General features: G+C 49.2%; 1 protein-coding gene across 7 annotated transcripts in view, besides 2 other annotated features; it reads right to left on the bottom strand.

Annotated features, from left to right (window-relative positions):
* The window catches only part of ADCY7 (adenylate cyclase 7), a 73,437-nt gene that overhangs the window by 54,846 nt on the left and 4,017 nt on the right, over positions 1–14,574 (bottom strand). The window lies entirely within an intron of this gene.
* Positions 1,076–1,145: an enhancer, noted in NCBI's record as "active region_10811". NCBI's record gives its function as "activates an Ori minimal core promoter by ATAC-STARR-seq in GM12878 lymphoblastoid cells {active_cell/tissue: GM12878}" and the evidence as "EXISTENCE:reporter gene assay evidence [ECO:0000049][PMID:35858748]".
* Positions 8,607–9,106: an enhancer, noted in NCBI's record as "H3K4me1 hESC enhancer chr16:50288095-50288594 (GRCh37/hg19 assembly coordinates)". NCBI's record gives its function as "activates a minimal SCP1, AML or CMV promoter by ChIP-STARR-seq in primed H9 embryonic stem cells {active_cell/tissue: H9 hESC(primed)}" and the evidence as "EXISTENCE:reporter gene assay evidence [ECO:0000049][PMID:30033119]".

Below are 14,574 nucleotides of genomic sequence, written 5' to 3'. Positions count from 1 at the left end.
CCCGGCAGGCAGGATCTGAGCACACACAGGTCAATGCTCCCTGGGATCCACACAGGCATCACCCAGGACTTTACACACACAGCCTCATGGCACTCCCTGGCAGCCCCACTGAGGAAGGCCCTGCTATCATCCCTCTGTAGAATAAGGCACCAAGGCTCAGAGACACCACATTGCTGGCCCAAGCACACACAGCTATGAAAAGGCAGAGCCAGGATTCAAGCTCAGATCTACCTGACTTCACAACCCATGCTCCTGACCCTCCCTGGGAACAAGGACAAGCTTCCATAGGGACAGGCTACCCCTAACCCCATTACAAGGTAATGAGCATGGTGAGTACCCTCACCCAAGATCTCCCAGCCCTGGCACACAGTGCTCCCAAGTGTGCTGAACAAACACCCGCTTTCTTTCAACTCCCCCAAAGAAGGGCAACCTTGGGCTTTCACAGTAGCAGACAGGGAAGGCTGGTTTCTGCTTGGTAGAGGCGCCAGGGCACACAGCACAACCCCAATCCTTTCCTGTCCCTCTCAGCAACCCCCATCCTCTTCCCTGGTGCTAGGGACACAAAACTGACTTGGACATAGTTCCCTTTCATGCAAGTTCCTAGGCTGGGAGGAGGTAAGAGGTGCCCATCAAAGGCATGGCATAAAGCTCTGGGGAGAAGCCGGCAGGGCATGGTGGCTCACACCTGTAATCCCAGTACTTTGGGAGGCTGAGGAGGGTGGATCACTTGAGGCCAGGAGTTCGAGACCAGCCTGGCCAACATGGTGAAACCCCGTCTCTAATAAAAATACAAAAATTAGCCGGGCTTGAGGGCAGGCGCCTGAATCCCAGCTACGCAGGAGGCTGAGGTGGGAGGAATACAAAAATTAGCCAGGCATTGTGGCGGGCACCTGAATCCCAGCTACTCGGGAGGCTGAGGTGGGAGGATCGCTTGAGCCTAGGAAGCAAAGGTTGCAGTAAGCTGAGATCACACCACTGCACTCCAGCCTGGGTGACAAAGTGAGACCCTGTCTCAAAAAAAAAAAAAAAGAGATCTGAGGAGAAGTACCCAGCAGGGTCCAGGCATATGTGGCCCAGAGTTTAGGGGAGAAGGACTTCCTACCCTGGGCAACAATGGGGGCTCAAGATGAGGCCATGAAACAGTCAGTAGGAGAGACTCAAACTGCAGCCAAAACGAAGCAGACAGTCAAGCTGTCAGTCAGCCAAGGGACAAATAACACTGAGTGCTGAGCAAACAGCTTGGCCCTGCCACACAAACCTAGATGTCGAGCCCTTACTGGGGGAAGGAAAGCCCCAGCACCCAGTGGGCTTGGAACTCTGGGCACGTCTCTGTAGGGGCCAGGGGATATGAGAACAAAAACCACCGTCCATGCCACAGTCACCTCTTCCTTCCCCTAAGGTCGGGGGTTCACGGCACCGGGAGGAGCCCTGGGAGGGTCTGAGCAATTGGGCTGGCCACTTGTCGCCAACCTCGCCTATCGTCCTGGCAGGATGAAGAGGAGCCTTCAGGAAGGTCCTGCTATTATTCCTGTCTGAGAGCTCTGGAGTCAGGGGCTCCAGGGAGAGACTTTGGCGGAGCTAGGGGACCCTGGTGGCTCAGGGAGTCCCTCTGTAAAGTCAGGAGATGTGGCCCACTCTGCTGGGAGCCCGTGGGGGGCTGTGAGAAATGCCGACAAGGCACATGGTGGGTGCTGGGTGCAAGCCAGCAGGGAGGAGGCCAGCCAGGCGTTCTCCCCGCTCTAAACCCTAAATCCCTAGGCTCTGCGACGTGCCTGCCCCTCCTTCAAACAACTTCCATGGCTTGCCTGTGCCTCCAGAGGCAAGTCCTGCCTCCTCCTCCTGCCTCTCGGGGACCCCCACCTGGCCCAACTCACTTTTCCATCCTTATCTGCCTCCACCTGCTACCCAGCTGCCTGACTCTTCCATTTCTTTGCTCAGGCCTTAGTGTCCCTGGAATGCTCAAAATGCTACCCATCCCGCCAGGTACTGGTGCCGCCTCTACCAGGAAGCCTTCCCCAGTGCCCCACCATCACCTCCTCTAGGCCACAATGCCATAGACCTCTCCACAGAGGATGTCATGTCCACTTTTGGTAACAGCTCCCTGTTCCTATGGGGAACCAGCCCTGCAGGGGTGGACTCACAACTAGCGTATATGGAGGAATGGGTGTGAGACTCAGGTGGTCCTGTGAAATTCACTTCCAGGACTTTTGTTGGGACTGTGGGAAAGTGTTCTCATTCACTTGGCAGTAGGTGTGAGCTACGAGCCACTGGGGCCATCTTTGCCACAGTGGCAGTCAGCCTCCAGTGACCCTTGTCCCCTGGCACTCATGTCTGTGAATGGTCCCCTCCCACACCACCTGTGTGACCAATAAAATATCGTGGAAACCACAATATGCGGCTTCTGAGATCATGAAAGATCTCAGAAGCTTCCACTCAGCTTTCCTTTGGATCTCTCCCTCTAGGGGAAGCCAGACACCATGGCTCGAGGACACTCAAGCAGCCCCAAGGAGGGATCTGTGTTCGAGGAACGGAGGCCTCCCGCCAGCAGCCAGCACCAACCCACCCTGCATGTGACAAAGCTGCCTTGGAGGCAGACCCTCCAGCCCCAGTCAAGCCTTCAGATGACTGCAGCTTGACAGGCAGCTTGATTGCAACCTCATCAGAGAACCCCAGCCAGAAGCACCCAGCTCAGCCTGAACTCCTGACCTACAGAAATTATGAGGTAATTGGAATAATTTGTTACACAGCAATAGATTACAAATACAACCTCTCTGTGGAAGAACTGGCCTGAAAAGGAAGCCAAGACAGAGAAATGGAGAGAGAAGCAGAGTCTTCATGATACCATTTGAGCCCCTGGATCCAGCCATGCCTGAATCCCCACAAAGTCTCAAGTCCTCTCTTTCTCCCTTTCCCTTTGGTTACAGTGGGTTTCTGGTACTTGCAGCTCAAAGAACCTGAACTTATTCATGCAGCACCCTCCCTGCTCAGGAGTGACTGAAGGTCCTGTCTTCTCCTCCATCAGACCCATCTGGCTGAGGGCAAGGACCACCTCTCCCCAGCACCACAGGACCTCACGACATTTCTGCCAGATTGACCTGTACCCAGATACTCCCAACAATAACACAGTGCAGCCAGCCGTGTGAGCGTCCCCTCCTGCTCACCCTACGTGGGAGGACAGAGCAGGGCTGACTCCGTGTGGTTTCACGCCCCCCAGCTCTTCCACACTTGGGACTGAGGTGAGCTCCCCAGGGAGAGGGACTCGCAGAGGCAGCACAGCTCGATGGAGACACTCCCCCTCCTCCCAGATGCATCTTTCACGCTGGGAGGCGGGGAACATTCCAGTGCATCCACCCACCTCCTCCAGGCCTCTGCCCACATCTCTTCTCAGCTGTGGGCTCAGGGATGTGCAGGGATCTGTTCCTGTGCAGGCTAGGAACATAAGAAAATGCCCGGGTCCACTAGCGCCTTCTGACCCCTAATCAGTGGTGGTCCTAAGGGGTGGCCTGGGGTAAGCCCCAAAGCCACTCCAAATGAACACATATTCTAAGTAAACAGCATCTTTCCCATTAAACCCGGCACCCTGCGGCTACTGCCCCTCCTAAATCGCTGCTGCTTGGCTGAGTTCCAATGCCACAACAAGGAAAGATGAACAGCCCGACTTCATGTAAGCGACAAAGCCCACTCAAGGGCAGGGGCCTGACTCCCATGATCCCCAGGGCCCCGATCTCTGCCACGCCTGGGAGACGGGGCTTTGGAGAAGGAAAGGGGCAGCTGGGGTCATGGTGTGTTGAGTAACAGCAGAGAATCCTAAAAGAACAGATGTGAAAGCAACCGCCCTGCCAACCAAAAGCCCTTATTTCCTTTGAAAAACTTGGCAGCTGGGCCGCACCAGAGGCCGCCTGTCCTTCCCTGCACCCGGCCCAGTGTGACCCATGGACAGGCAGGGAGGAAGGCCATGTCCCTCCCACCAGATCCTCAAAGGGGGCTTCAGACATACCACAAATTGAAAATAGCAGCTCCTAGAACTGCATGTGAAGTGTGACCCCTTTCTTTTTTAACGATGTCACAGGGATGCCTGTATTTTTTTGCATACAAGAAAATCGGGAAGAAAATGTCCCAAATCTTAGGAGTTATCACTAGGTGATAGAATTTGGCACAGTTTTATTTTAATATTTATCTTTTTGTTTAGATCTGCTTTTCAATTTTTCTCTAATGAAAATATACTACCCAAATAATTAACAGAGGAGGAAAACCAGCTACAATCAAGAAAAAGCAAGAAAAAGGAAAAACAATGCCCTGAGATGGGTAGTTTTCCACCCAACACCAAACTAGGCACCACTTGTAACAGGGTGAATACGGAAGGTTTTTACTGTAACTAAAAATACTACCTTAAGGGTTGGGCGTGGTGGCTCATGCTTGTAATTCCAGCACTTTGGGAGACCAAGACAGGGAGATCAGGAGGATCGCTTGAGCCCAGGAGTTCAAGACCAGCCGGCGCAACAGAGTGAAACCTCATCTCTACAAAAAAAATTAGCCTGAGCTGGTGGTGGGCACCTGTGGTCCCAGCTACTTGGGAGGCTGAGATAGGAGGATTGCTTGAGCCTGGAGGTCAAGGCTGCAGTGAGCTATAATTGAGCCACTGCACTCTAGCCTGGGAGACAGAGAGGGACCATGTTTCAAAAAAAAAAAAAAAATACTACCTTAAAGTCATTGAATATCAATGACTGCCAGTATTACAAAAGGAAATTCACCAGACCACGTGCCTCCCAGAAATTTCCAATAGCATCTCCAATGTGCTGTTGTGTGAAAAAAATCAAAACTGAATTAGATCAAGCCTCTGGATACAACTATGAATTTATAGGATTCAGGGGACAAGGAGCATGCTACACATTATAGGAAGCTCTCCTACAGGTAAAGGGACCCAGCTTCAACAAAAACACCACATGGAAGACAGAGAGAATGAGTACCAGTCCTACAGATGAAAAACTGAAGAAACATATCACAGTCTCATCATGCAGACCTCATTCGGATCCTGATTATTATTATTTTTTAAAGAGACAGGGGCTCTCTCTGTCACCCAGGCTGGAGTGCAGTGGCGCAGTCATAGCTCACTGCAGCCTCCAGCTCCCAACCTCAAGTAATCCTCCTGCCTCAGCCTCTCGAGTAGCTTGGAGGTTACATTACAAGTGCATGCCACCATGCCTGGCTCTGGATCCTGATTTTAAAAAGCTAATATTAACATATAGGCCAGGCACGGTGGCTCACGTCCCTAATCCCAGCACCTTGGGAGGCCGAGGCAAGCGTATCACTTGAGTCCAGAAGTTCGAGACCAGCCTGGGCAACGTGGTGAAATCCTGTCTCTACAAAAAATACAAAAAAATTAGCCTGGTGTGGTGGTGCATGCCTGTGGTCCCAGCTATTAGGGAGGCTGAGGTGGGAGGATCACCTGAGCCTGGGAGGTAGAGGTTGCAGTGGACCGAAATCGCATCACTGCACTCTAGCCTGGGCAACAGACACCCTGTCTCAAAAAAAGAAAAAAAAAGATAAATCTAATATATAAAATATAAATATATATATATATGACATTTACAAAACAATTGGAAGTTTGAACACCGAATGGATAGTTACGATCTTAAAGAATTACTGCTAATGTTTAGCAATATGTGTGGTAAAATGTTTGTTTTTTTAATTTTATTGTAAATTGATCAGTTATAATTGTATATATTTATGGGATACAAGGTGACGTTACATATATACAATGGAGAATGATGAAATGAAGCTAATTAACATATCACCTCAAGTATTTAGCACTGTTTGTGGTGAAAACATTTGAAATTACCCTCTTAGTAATTTTGAAATGTACATTAACTATAGTCACCATGCTGTGCAATAGGTCTCAAAAAACTTATTCCTCCACTGAAACTTTGTATCCTTTGACTGACCTCTCTCTATCTCTCCCCATCCCACCCCTGCCCCCCTTACCTACACACAGCCTCTGGTAACCACCCTTCCACTTGCTGCTTCTGAGTTCAATTGGATTTTTTTGTTGGTGGTGGTCTTTTGCATTTGTTTTGTTTTGTACAGGTGGGGTGCTATGTTGCCCATGCGTTTTGAACTCCTAGCCTCAAGCAATTCTCCCACCTTAGCCTCCCAAAGAGCTGAGATGACAGGCATGAGCCACCGCACACAGCCTAGATTTCTTGGATTCCACACATAAGTGAGATCGTGCAGTATTTGTCCTTCTGTGCCTAGCTTATTTTACTTAGTGTAATGTCCATTAGGTTCACCCATGTTGTTCCTTCTTTCTTAAGGCTAAATAGTATCTCATTGTGTATATATGTCACATTTTCTTCATCCATTAATGGACACTTGTTTCTAGATCTTGGCTATTATGAATAATGCTGCAATGATTATGGGAGTGCAGATATCTCTTTGACATGCTGCTTTCAAATCCTTTGGATATGTACCCACAAGCGGAAGGAAGGGAGGTTCCTACTATTTTCCATAATGGCTGTGCTAATTTGCATTCCCACCAACAGTGCTCAAGGGTTTCCTTTTCTCCACATTATCTCCAACACCTGTCTCTTTTTTTTTGGAGACAGGGTCTTGCCCAAGCTGGAGTGCAGTGATGTGATCATAGCTCACTGCAGCCTCTGAATTCTGGGCTCAAGTGATCCTCCCACCTCAGCCTCCTGACTAGGTAGAACTACAGGTGCACGCTGCCACACCTGCCTTGTTTTTTTATTTTTTGTAGAGATGGGTTCTCCCTATGTTGCCCAGGCTGGTCTCAAACTCCCAGGCTCAAGCAATCCTCCTGCCTTAGCCTCCCAAAGTGCTGGAATTACAGGCGTGAGCCACCACGCCTGGCTTCTCTTGTCTTTTTAATAATAGCCATTCTAACAGGTGTGAGATGATACCTCACTGTGGTTTTAATATGCATTTCCCTAATGATTAGTAATGTTGAACATTTTTTTGTATACCTGTTGGTCATTTGCATGGGTTCTTTTGAAAAATGCCTATTCAGGTTCTTTGCCCATTTTTTAATTGGGTTTGTTGTTGTTGTTGCTGTTATTGAGTTCCTTATCTATTTTGGATATTAACTTCTTTTCAGATGTTTGGCTTGCAAATATTTTCTCCCAGTCTATCGGTTGTCTCTTCTGTTACCTGTTTTCTTTGCCATGCAGAGGCTTTTAAGTTTGACATCATCCTATTTGTCTATTTTTGCTTTTGTTGCATGAGATTTTGGAGTCAAAAATAATAATAATAATTGCCCAGACCAGTATCACATAGCTTTTTCCCTATATTTTCTTCTAGTAGTTCTATAGTTTCAGGTCTTATGTTTAAGTCTTCAGTCCATTTTGAGTTGGTTTTTATATGTAAGGATCTAATTTCATCCTCCTGCCTGTGAAAACCCAGTCTTCTCAACACCATTTATTGAAGAGGCTATCCTTTTCCCATAGTGGGTCCTTGGCATCTTTGTCAAAAAAATCAATGGACTGGGCAGGCACAGTGGCCCATGCCTGTGATCCCAGCATTTTGGGAGGCCGAGGCAGGCAGAGCCCTTGAGCTCAGGAGTTCGAGACCAGCCTGGGCAGCATGTTGAAACCCCATCTCTACAAAAAATACAAAAATTAGCCAAAGGTGGCATGCACCTGTTGTCCCAGTGACTCAGGAGGCTGAAGTAGGGGCATGGCTTGAGCATGGGAGGCAGAGTTTGCAGTGAGCCAAGATCCCACCACTGCACTCCAGGCTAGGTGACAGAGTGAGACACTATCTGAACAACAAACAAACAAACAAATCATTGGGCTGTAAATATATTCATGGGTTCATTTCTGAGCTCTCTATCCTGTTCCATTGGTTGATACGTCTTTTTTTTTTTTTTTTTTTCCAGAAACAGAGTCTTATGGGCCAGGCATGGTAGCTCATGCCTGTAATCCCAGCACTTTAGATGGCCCTATCTCTATAAAAAAGAAATTATAAATATATATATATATTTTAATTGGCTCACTCTGTCACCTAGGCTGGTGTACAGTGGCACAATCATAGCTCACTGCAACCTCAAGCTCCTAGGCTCACGCAATCCTCCCACCTCAGCCTCCCAAGTAGCTGGGACGACAGGCTCCTGCCACCACACTCGGCAAATTTTTAATTTTTTTTTTTTTTTTTTGTAGAGACAAGGTCTTGCTATGTTGCCCAGGCTAGCTTCAAACTTCTGGCCTCAAGCAATCCTCCCACCTCAGCCTCCCAAAATGCTAGAATTACAGGCATGAGCCACCATGCCTAGCCCAATGTGTCTATTTTTATGCCAGTACAATGCTATTTTAATTACTGTAGCTTGTAATATATTTTGAAATTAGGTAGTGTGATGCCTTCAGCTTTGATCTTCTTGCTCAAGATCACTTTAGCTATTTGGGGTCTTTTGTGGTTTCACCTGAATTTTAGAATTGTTTTTTCTTTTGTTTTGGCAGGGGGTGGGGGTGGGGGGGCAGGGAGACACAGCTTTTGGTATAAACCAAAGGTGTGTTCCCTGTTTTTTCTTTTTCTGTGAGAAGTCACTGGAATGTTGACAAAGGCTGCATTGAATAGCTTTGGGTAGTATGGACATTTGCACGATATTAATTCTTCCAATCCATGAACATGGATAAAATCCCATCTATTTGTATCTTGTTCCATTTCTTGGTTCATTGTTTTATAGATTTCAGCATACAGCTCTTTCACCTTCTCCGTTGAATTTATTCCTAAGTATTTTTTCGCGTGGCTATTGTGAATGGGATTATCTTCTTGATTTCTTTTTCAGATAGTTAGCTAACATACAGAAACATGACTGATTTTTGTGTGTTGACTTTACAGCTTCACTGTGTTAGTTTATTAGTTCTAACAGTTATTTGGTGATTGTGTGTTTTTTAAGCATCTTATCTTTTAGTAACATAGACTACCATTCTCACAGATGAAGTGACAGGGTGCCTGGAGGGGGCTGTGTGTGGGAGGAGAGGCAGCTCCCAGAGGCCATGGGCTGGAGCCTGCGGAAGCGGAGGCAGGGGTGCGTGGAGTGGCGTGCTGGTGGGCTGCCCTGTCTGCTGCTGTGTCTGTTGGCTTGTTCATAATGAAACGTCAAAACCTTGTCACTGAAAGCACTCTGGGATCTGCCATCTCCTCCATGTCTCACACAGCGAAGGGGTCGTTTTTAGCCCCTTCCTACAGATGAGGATCATGTGGTCTTGAGAGGGAAGGTAACTCCCCCGAGGTCTCAGGGTCAGAAACACAGACCCAGCCTCAACCCTGCTCCTGACTGGAGAGAGACAGACAGAGAGAGACAGAGACAGACAGATAGACAGACACACAGAGAAAGGCAGTTAGAGACAGACAAGGACAAAGACAGAGACACACACAAGTTCTTCCTGAGGTCCCCTCCTGCTGGAAGCAAAGGAGGCTCCAGGCTCTGGCCTCCAGTCCCCACCAGCATGTAGCAGCAGACACCACCGCCTCCACCCCCACCTCAACCCACCTCACCACAGGAGCTTAAAGGCTTCCAGTGCCAGCCTGGGCGGCGTCATTAGAACACACTCCTGGCAAAGCCCTCCCCCCGGAGCCCCTCCCTGTCTCATCCTCTGACCACAAAAGAGTGGGCAGTGGAAAGCGCTCAGTGCCCAAGACCTCCACACTCCCAGACGTGGTCCCACCACAAACCTGGGTCCAGCCTGAGGGCACCACAAAGGTAAGAAACGGACCCATTTTTGGCTGGGTGCGGTGGCTCACACCTATAATTCCAGCATTTTGGGAGGCCACGGCAGGGGTGGATCATTTGAGGCCAGGAGTTTGAGACCAGCCTGGGCAACATGGTGAAACCATGTCTCTACTAAAAACACAAAAATTAGTCGGGCATGGTGGCACACATCTGTAAATCCCAGCTACTCAGGAAGCTGAGACAGGAGAATCATCTGAACCCAGGAGGCGGAGGCTGCAGTGAGACGAGATTGCGCCACAGCACTCCAGCCTGGACGACAGAGCAAGACTCCATCTCAGAAAAAAGAAAGAAAAGAAAAAGAAATGGACTCGTTTTAATTTACCCTAAAGAAACAGTCCCACTACATGCAAGGACTTAGCTACGGGCTGTTTAGTGCAGCTCTCTAACTGCGAAAATGCTGGAAACAACCGAAATGTCTGCAACAGGGGACAGAGAAAATCGTGCAGGGCACCTCCTGTGTCAAAGGCTGGGCTGCTGATGTCTGTAACACTTTAACCTCCCTGACCCCCAACTCCACACCCAAAGCCTGGGGCAGACAGAACTCCCCTTAGAGGACAATAAAGAAAGTTGTAATGCTCAACTTTTTTTCTTGTAATATGTTGAAAAAAGAAAAGAAGTCTGGAAGAATATACACCAATATGTTAATGGGTTACTTCGAGTTCCAATTCTATTAAGAAGTTTTTTCCCCACCTTATTACTTATATTTTCTGATTTTTCATTACCTAAATGTGAATTGTTTCTGTACTTTAAAAAATGAAAACCATTTAAAAATAAGAAACGAGCTTTTTCCTCCTCCTGGGAATGGAGCCCAGAGCCTTAGCCCAGGAGGCAGAAACTCTGGCTTCTAGTCCCAGCATTGCTATTGCTTGGTCATGGGACCTCTGAGGGTCACTTCACCTCTCTGAGCCTCAGTTTCCCCATCTGTTGAACACCAAACTCACCAAGGTGAGCTCCTGCCATCGTCACTGAGCCTGTCCCCTCCTCTGTGAGATGATGACCTTAAGGCACAGCTACGAAGGCACACAAACAATGCCTACCCAGGCACACAAACAATGCCTACCCAGGCACACAAACAATGCCTGCCCAGGCACACAAACAATGCCTACCCAGTGGCTGCCTCCACCCCACACCCTGGGTCATGCCTATTGCCAGCCTTTGCTCAACCCATTCCTGCTGGCCCCGAAGCCAGGCTGGCGGGGGACCAGTGGCATTAGAAGCCAAGCACTGGAATGAAACCATCATGTCAATCATGTGTGCAGAGCTCAGCCCTGCTCAACACTGACAAGTCCCATTCCTCCTGCTTCCACCCACCCTCCAGGAAGGTGGTCTAGCCCCATCTCACATAGGAAGAACCAGAGGCTCGGCACAGAGAAAGGACTGCCTGCCTACATACACCCAAAAAGGAAAAAAAACAGCAGCCCGGGGGCTCCTCCTGCACCGTCCTCAAGGCGTGGTCAGCGAGCCACCCCGCACCCCTTCTTCAGGGCCAGGCACACATTTGAGGCTGCAGGAGGGATGGACAGAGGCCTGGGACTGTGACAGGAGAGCAGGCTGGAGCCCCAAAGCTTCAGCTCCTCTTCCTCCTCGCCTGAAGCCCCCAGCCATTGCCCACACACACCAGGTGCTCAAATACTGGCTGAGTCAAGGCAGTGCAATGCTATGCCCTCTGCGTGGGGGAGCAGGCCGGGGAAGGGGAGAACCCAAGCTTTGTGGCCCAGCACCCTGCGATCACTTCCTAGGACAGTGAACTGGGAGCCCCCGGAGGCCAGGCGGGGACAATGACAGGCAAGGCTGGCTGGCTAGGTGGGGACTGGGGCACACTGGAGGCCCGAGCTCTGGGTGAGGCGCCACCCTGCCGAGCTTCCACCGGTAGCTGCCATGCAGCAACGTGGCCAGGGGTACAGGCCTTCTAAGTTGGCAAAAGAAACTAGAAATCTAGGCTTTATGTAAAAATCTTGTGGTTTTCAAATGTTGATGATTAATTCAAAATAAACTTTAAGCACTTCTGCAGTCCTCCTCCCACGGCCCTGGCCTCTGCGGTGTCCTGAGCAAGCCACTTCACCTCTCTGGGCTTCAACTGTGTCATCTGTAAAGTGGAGAAACAAGGCCTGCCCCTCAGGATCATGGCAACAGGAGATGGGACACACGTTGCCCATACTAAAGATAACAAAAAGCGGCAGCAACAATAACAGCTAATGCTCGATGAGTGCCAGAGGCTGTTTTAAGTACCGGGAAGTAATGTCATTTCATCACACCACAATCTCATAAGACAGGCTTTTTTTTCTTTTTCTTTCTTTTTTTTTTTAAATCAGGGTCTCGCTCTATCACCCAAACTAGTGGGCAGTAGAGTGATCATAGCTCATTGCAGCCTCAAATTCCTGGGCTCAAGTGATCCTCCTGCCTCAGCCTCTGGAGTAGCTGGGACCACAGGCGTGTGCCACCACACCTGGCAATTTTTTTTTTCTTTTTTTGGGAAGAAACAGAATCTTGCTATGTTGCTCAAGCTAGTCTCAGACTCCTGGCCTAAAGCGTTCCTCCTACCTTGGCCTCCCAAAGTGCTGGGATTACAGGTGTAAGCCACCTCACCTGGCAAGACAGGCATTTTTTAAAGCTGTATTTTGAAATACTTTCAAAAAACTTTCAGAAGTGATAAGTACAAAGAATTCTATACTTTTTAATCCAGATTTGCCTATTTGTACAATTTTGCCTCATTCTATATCTATACATTTACCCTGTGCCTCTTTAGCCTTGCAAATTTCCAAAGATCAAGGGCTCATATAAACAGTTATCAGATCATTTAATGTTGATACAATACTTTAATCTACAGCCCATACCCAATTTTATCAACCATCCCACTGATGTGCTTTATACCTTTTTTCCCACCATATGCTCACATACTGCATTTTTAAAATTTGTTTTAAAATTGTTTATTTTTAAAAATAGAGACAGAGTTTCACCACATTGTCCAAGCTGGTCTCACACTCCTGATCCACCCACCTCAACCTCCCAAAGTGCTAGGATTAAATATGTGAGCTACTGCACCTGGCCACATACTGCATTTTAGGTTTTTTTTTTTTTTTTTTTTTTTGAGATAGAGTCTTGCTTTGTCCCCCAGGCTGGAGTGCAGTGTCGTGATCTCGGCTCACTGCAACCTCCGCCTCCCGGGTTCAAGCGATTCTCCTGCCTCAGCCTCCCAAGTAGCTGGGACTACAGGCACAAGCCACCATGCCCAGCTAATTTTTTGTATTTTTAGGAAAGATGGTGTTTCAACATGTTGGCCAGGCTGGTCACGAACTCCTGAGCTCAAGTGATCCGCCCGCCTCGGCCTCCCAGTGTGCTGGAATTACAGGCGTGAGCCACCCCACCCGGCCAATTCATTTTGTTGTCACCTCTCTTCAGTGTCCTTTAACCTGGAGGTTAAATCCTTGGCCTTTGAGATAAGCACTCTTACTGTCCGCATTGTATAAGTGAGAAACTGAAGGCTCAGAGGGGTTGAAGCACTTGCCCAAAGTCACACAGCTACCAAACATTGAGCTGGGACTCAAGCCCAGGGGACTCTCTTTAGAGCTTGTGCTGCTCTTGTCCTCCAGGCCCAAGAGCTTCCAAAGAAAGACCTTTGTTGTTAACTGAACAGGGGCTCCCTCTGCAAACAGCTGCTCAAGGCACCTCACTCAGCAGGTGGTCATTAATTGAAGGAGCACCCTCCTGTGCACACATGGGCTGGGCCGCAGGCTGCCCGCTCCCCACACCTGGCAATGGCCCTGGCCAGATGCCCACCACCTCCCCCAGCAGGGCCCCACATAGCCATTTCCAGAGAAAGAATGTGCTTACCTGCAGAGGAGCCTCCCCACCTCCTGGCAAACTGGGCGATAACGAGGGCCTTAGAGGGCTGGGGCCAGGAGTGCCTGCCATGTTCTCCCCTTACAGTATAGTCGAGGCCCAAATGTCCAGGTCCAAAAGGCAGAGCCTGAAGTCATAATCACCTGCAGGCCACATCCCTAACCCACAGACCAGGGCTCAGGGGGAACCCATGAGGTCAACTGTCTAAGAGGGGCCTGAGTACTTTGGTTTTGTTGTTGTTGTTGTTGTTGTTGTTGTTTTAGACGGAGTCTTGCTCTGTCGCCCAGAGCAAGCTGGAGTGCAGTGGCGCTAACTCGGCTCACTGCAACTTCTGCCTCCTGAGTTCAAGCAATTCTCATGCCTCAGCCTCCCAAGTAGCTGGGACTACAGGCACACACCACCATGCCTGGCTAATTTTTGTATTTTTAGTAGAGACGGGGTTTCATCATGTTGGCCAGGCTGGTCTCAAACTCCTGACTTCAAGCAATCTGCCTGCCTCAGCCTCCTAAAGAGCTAGAATTACAGGTGTGAGCCGCTGCGCCAGGCCAGAGCCTGAGTACTTGCTAAGACACACAATAGGACCATGCTGGAAGGCTTACAGGAAGAAGGCACAGCAAAGGGCAAGGCCTGGGAGGTGGGAGTGGTGCAGGCTCTTACGCAGAGAGCAGAAAGCACTCAAGGGGGCCACACACAGTCTGCAGTATCTGGGAAGAGGAGGCAGGACCCAGATAGCTTCCCAACCGCCATGAGCCACAGATCCCAGCAGACACACAGCGGAAGAGGTGACATGAAGCTCTGCCACCGACCAAAAGGGTATCGTCCACCTGAGTCCCAGGCCGTTCTGTTAGGCTGTGAGGCTATTGTGTACTGAAATACCTCAAAATCCTGGAACCTCACCACGTGATATCCTGTCAAATTCAGAAACTGGCATCAGCCTCCAGACCTCATCTTGCAAACCCAATTCTAAGATTCAGATGCAGCAGAACTGC

This window comes from Homo sapiens, chromosome 16 (genome assembly GCF_000001405.40).
Source record: "Homo sapiens chromosome 16, GRCh38.p14 Primary Assembly".
Lineage (NCBI taxonomy): Eukaryota > Metazoa > Chordata > Mammalia > Primates > Hominidae > Homo > Homo sapiens.
Note: the sequence above shows the minus strand (reverse complement) of the source record. Positions and strands in the feature narration are given on the sequence as shown.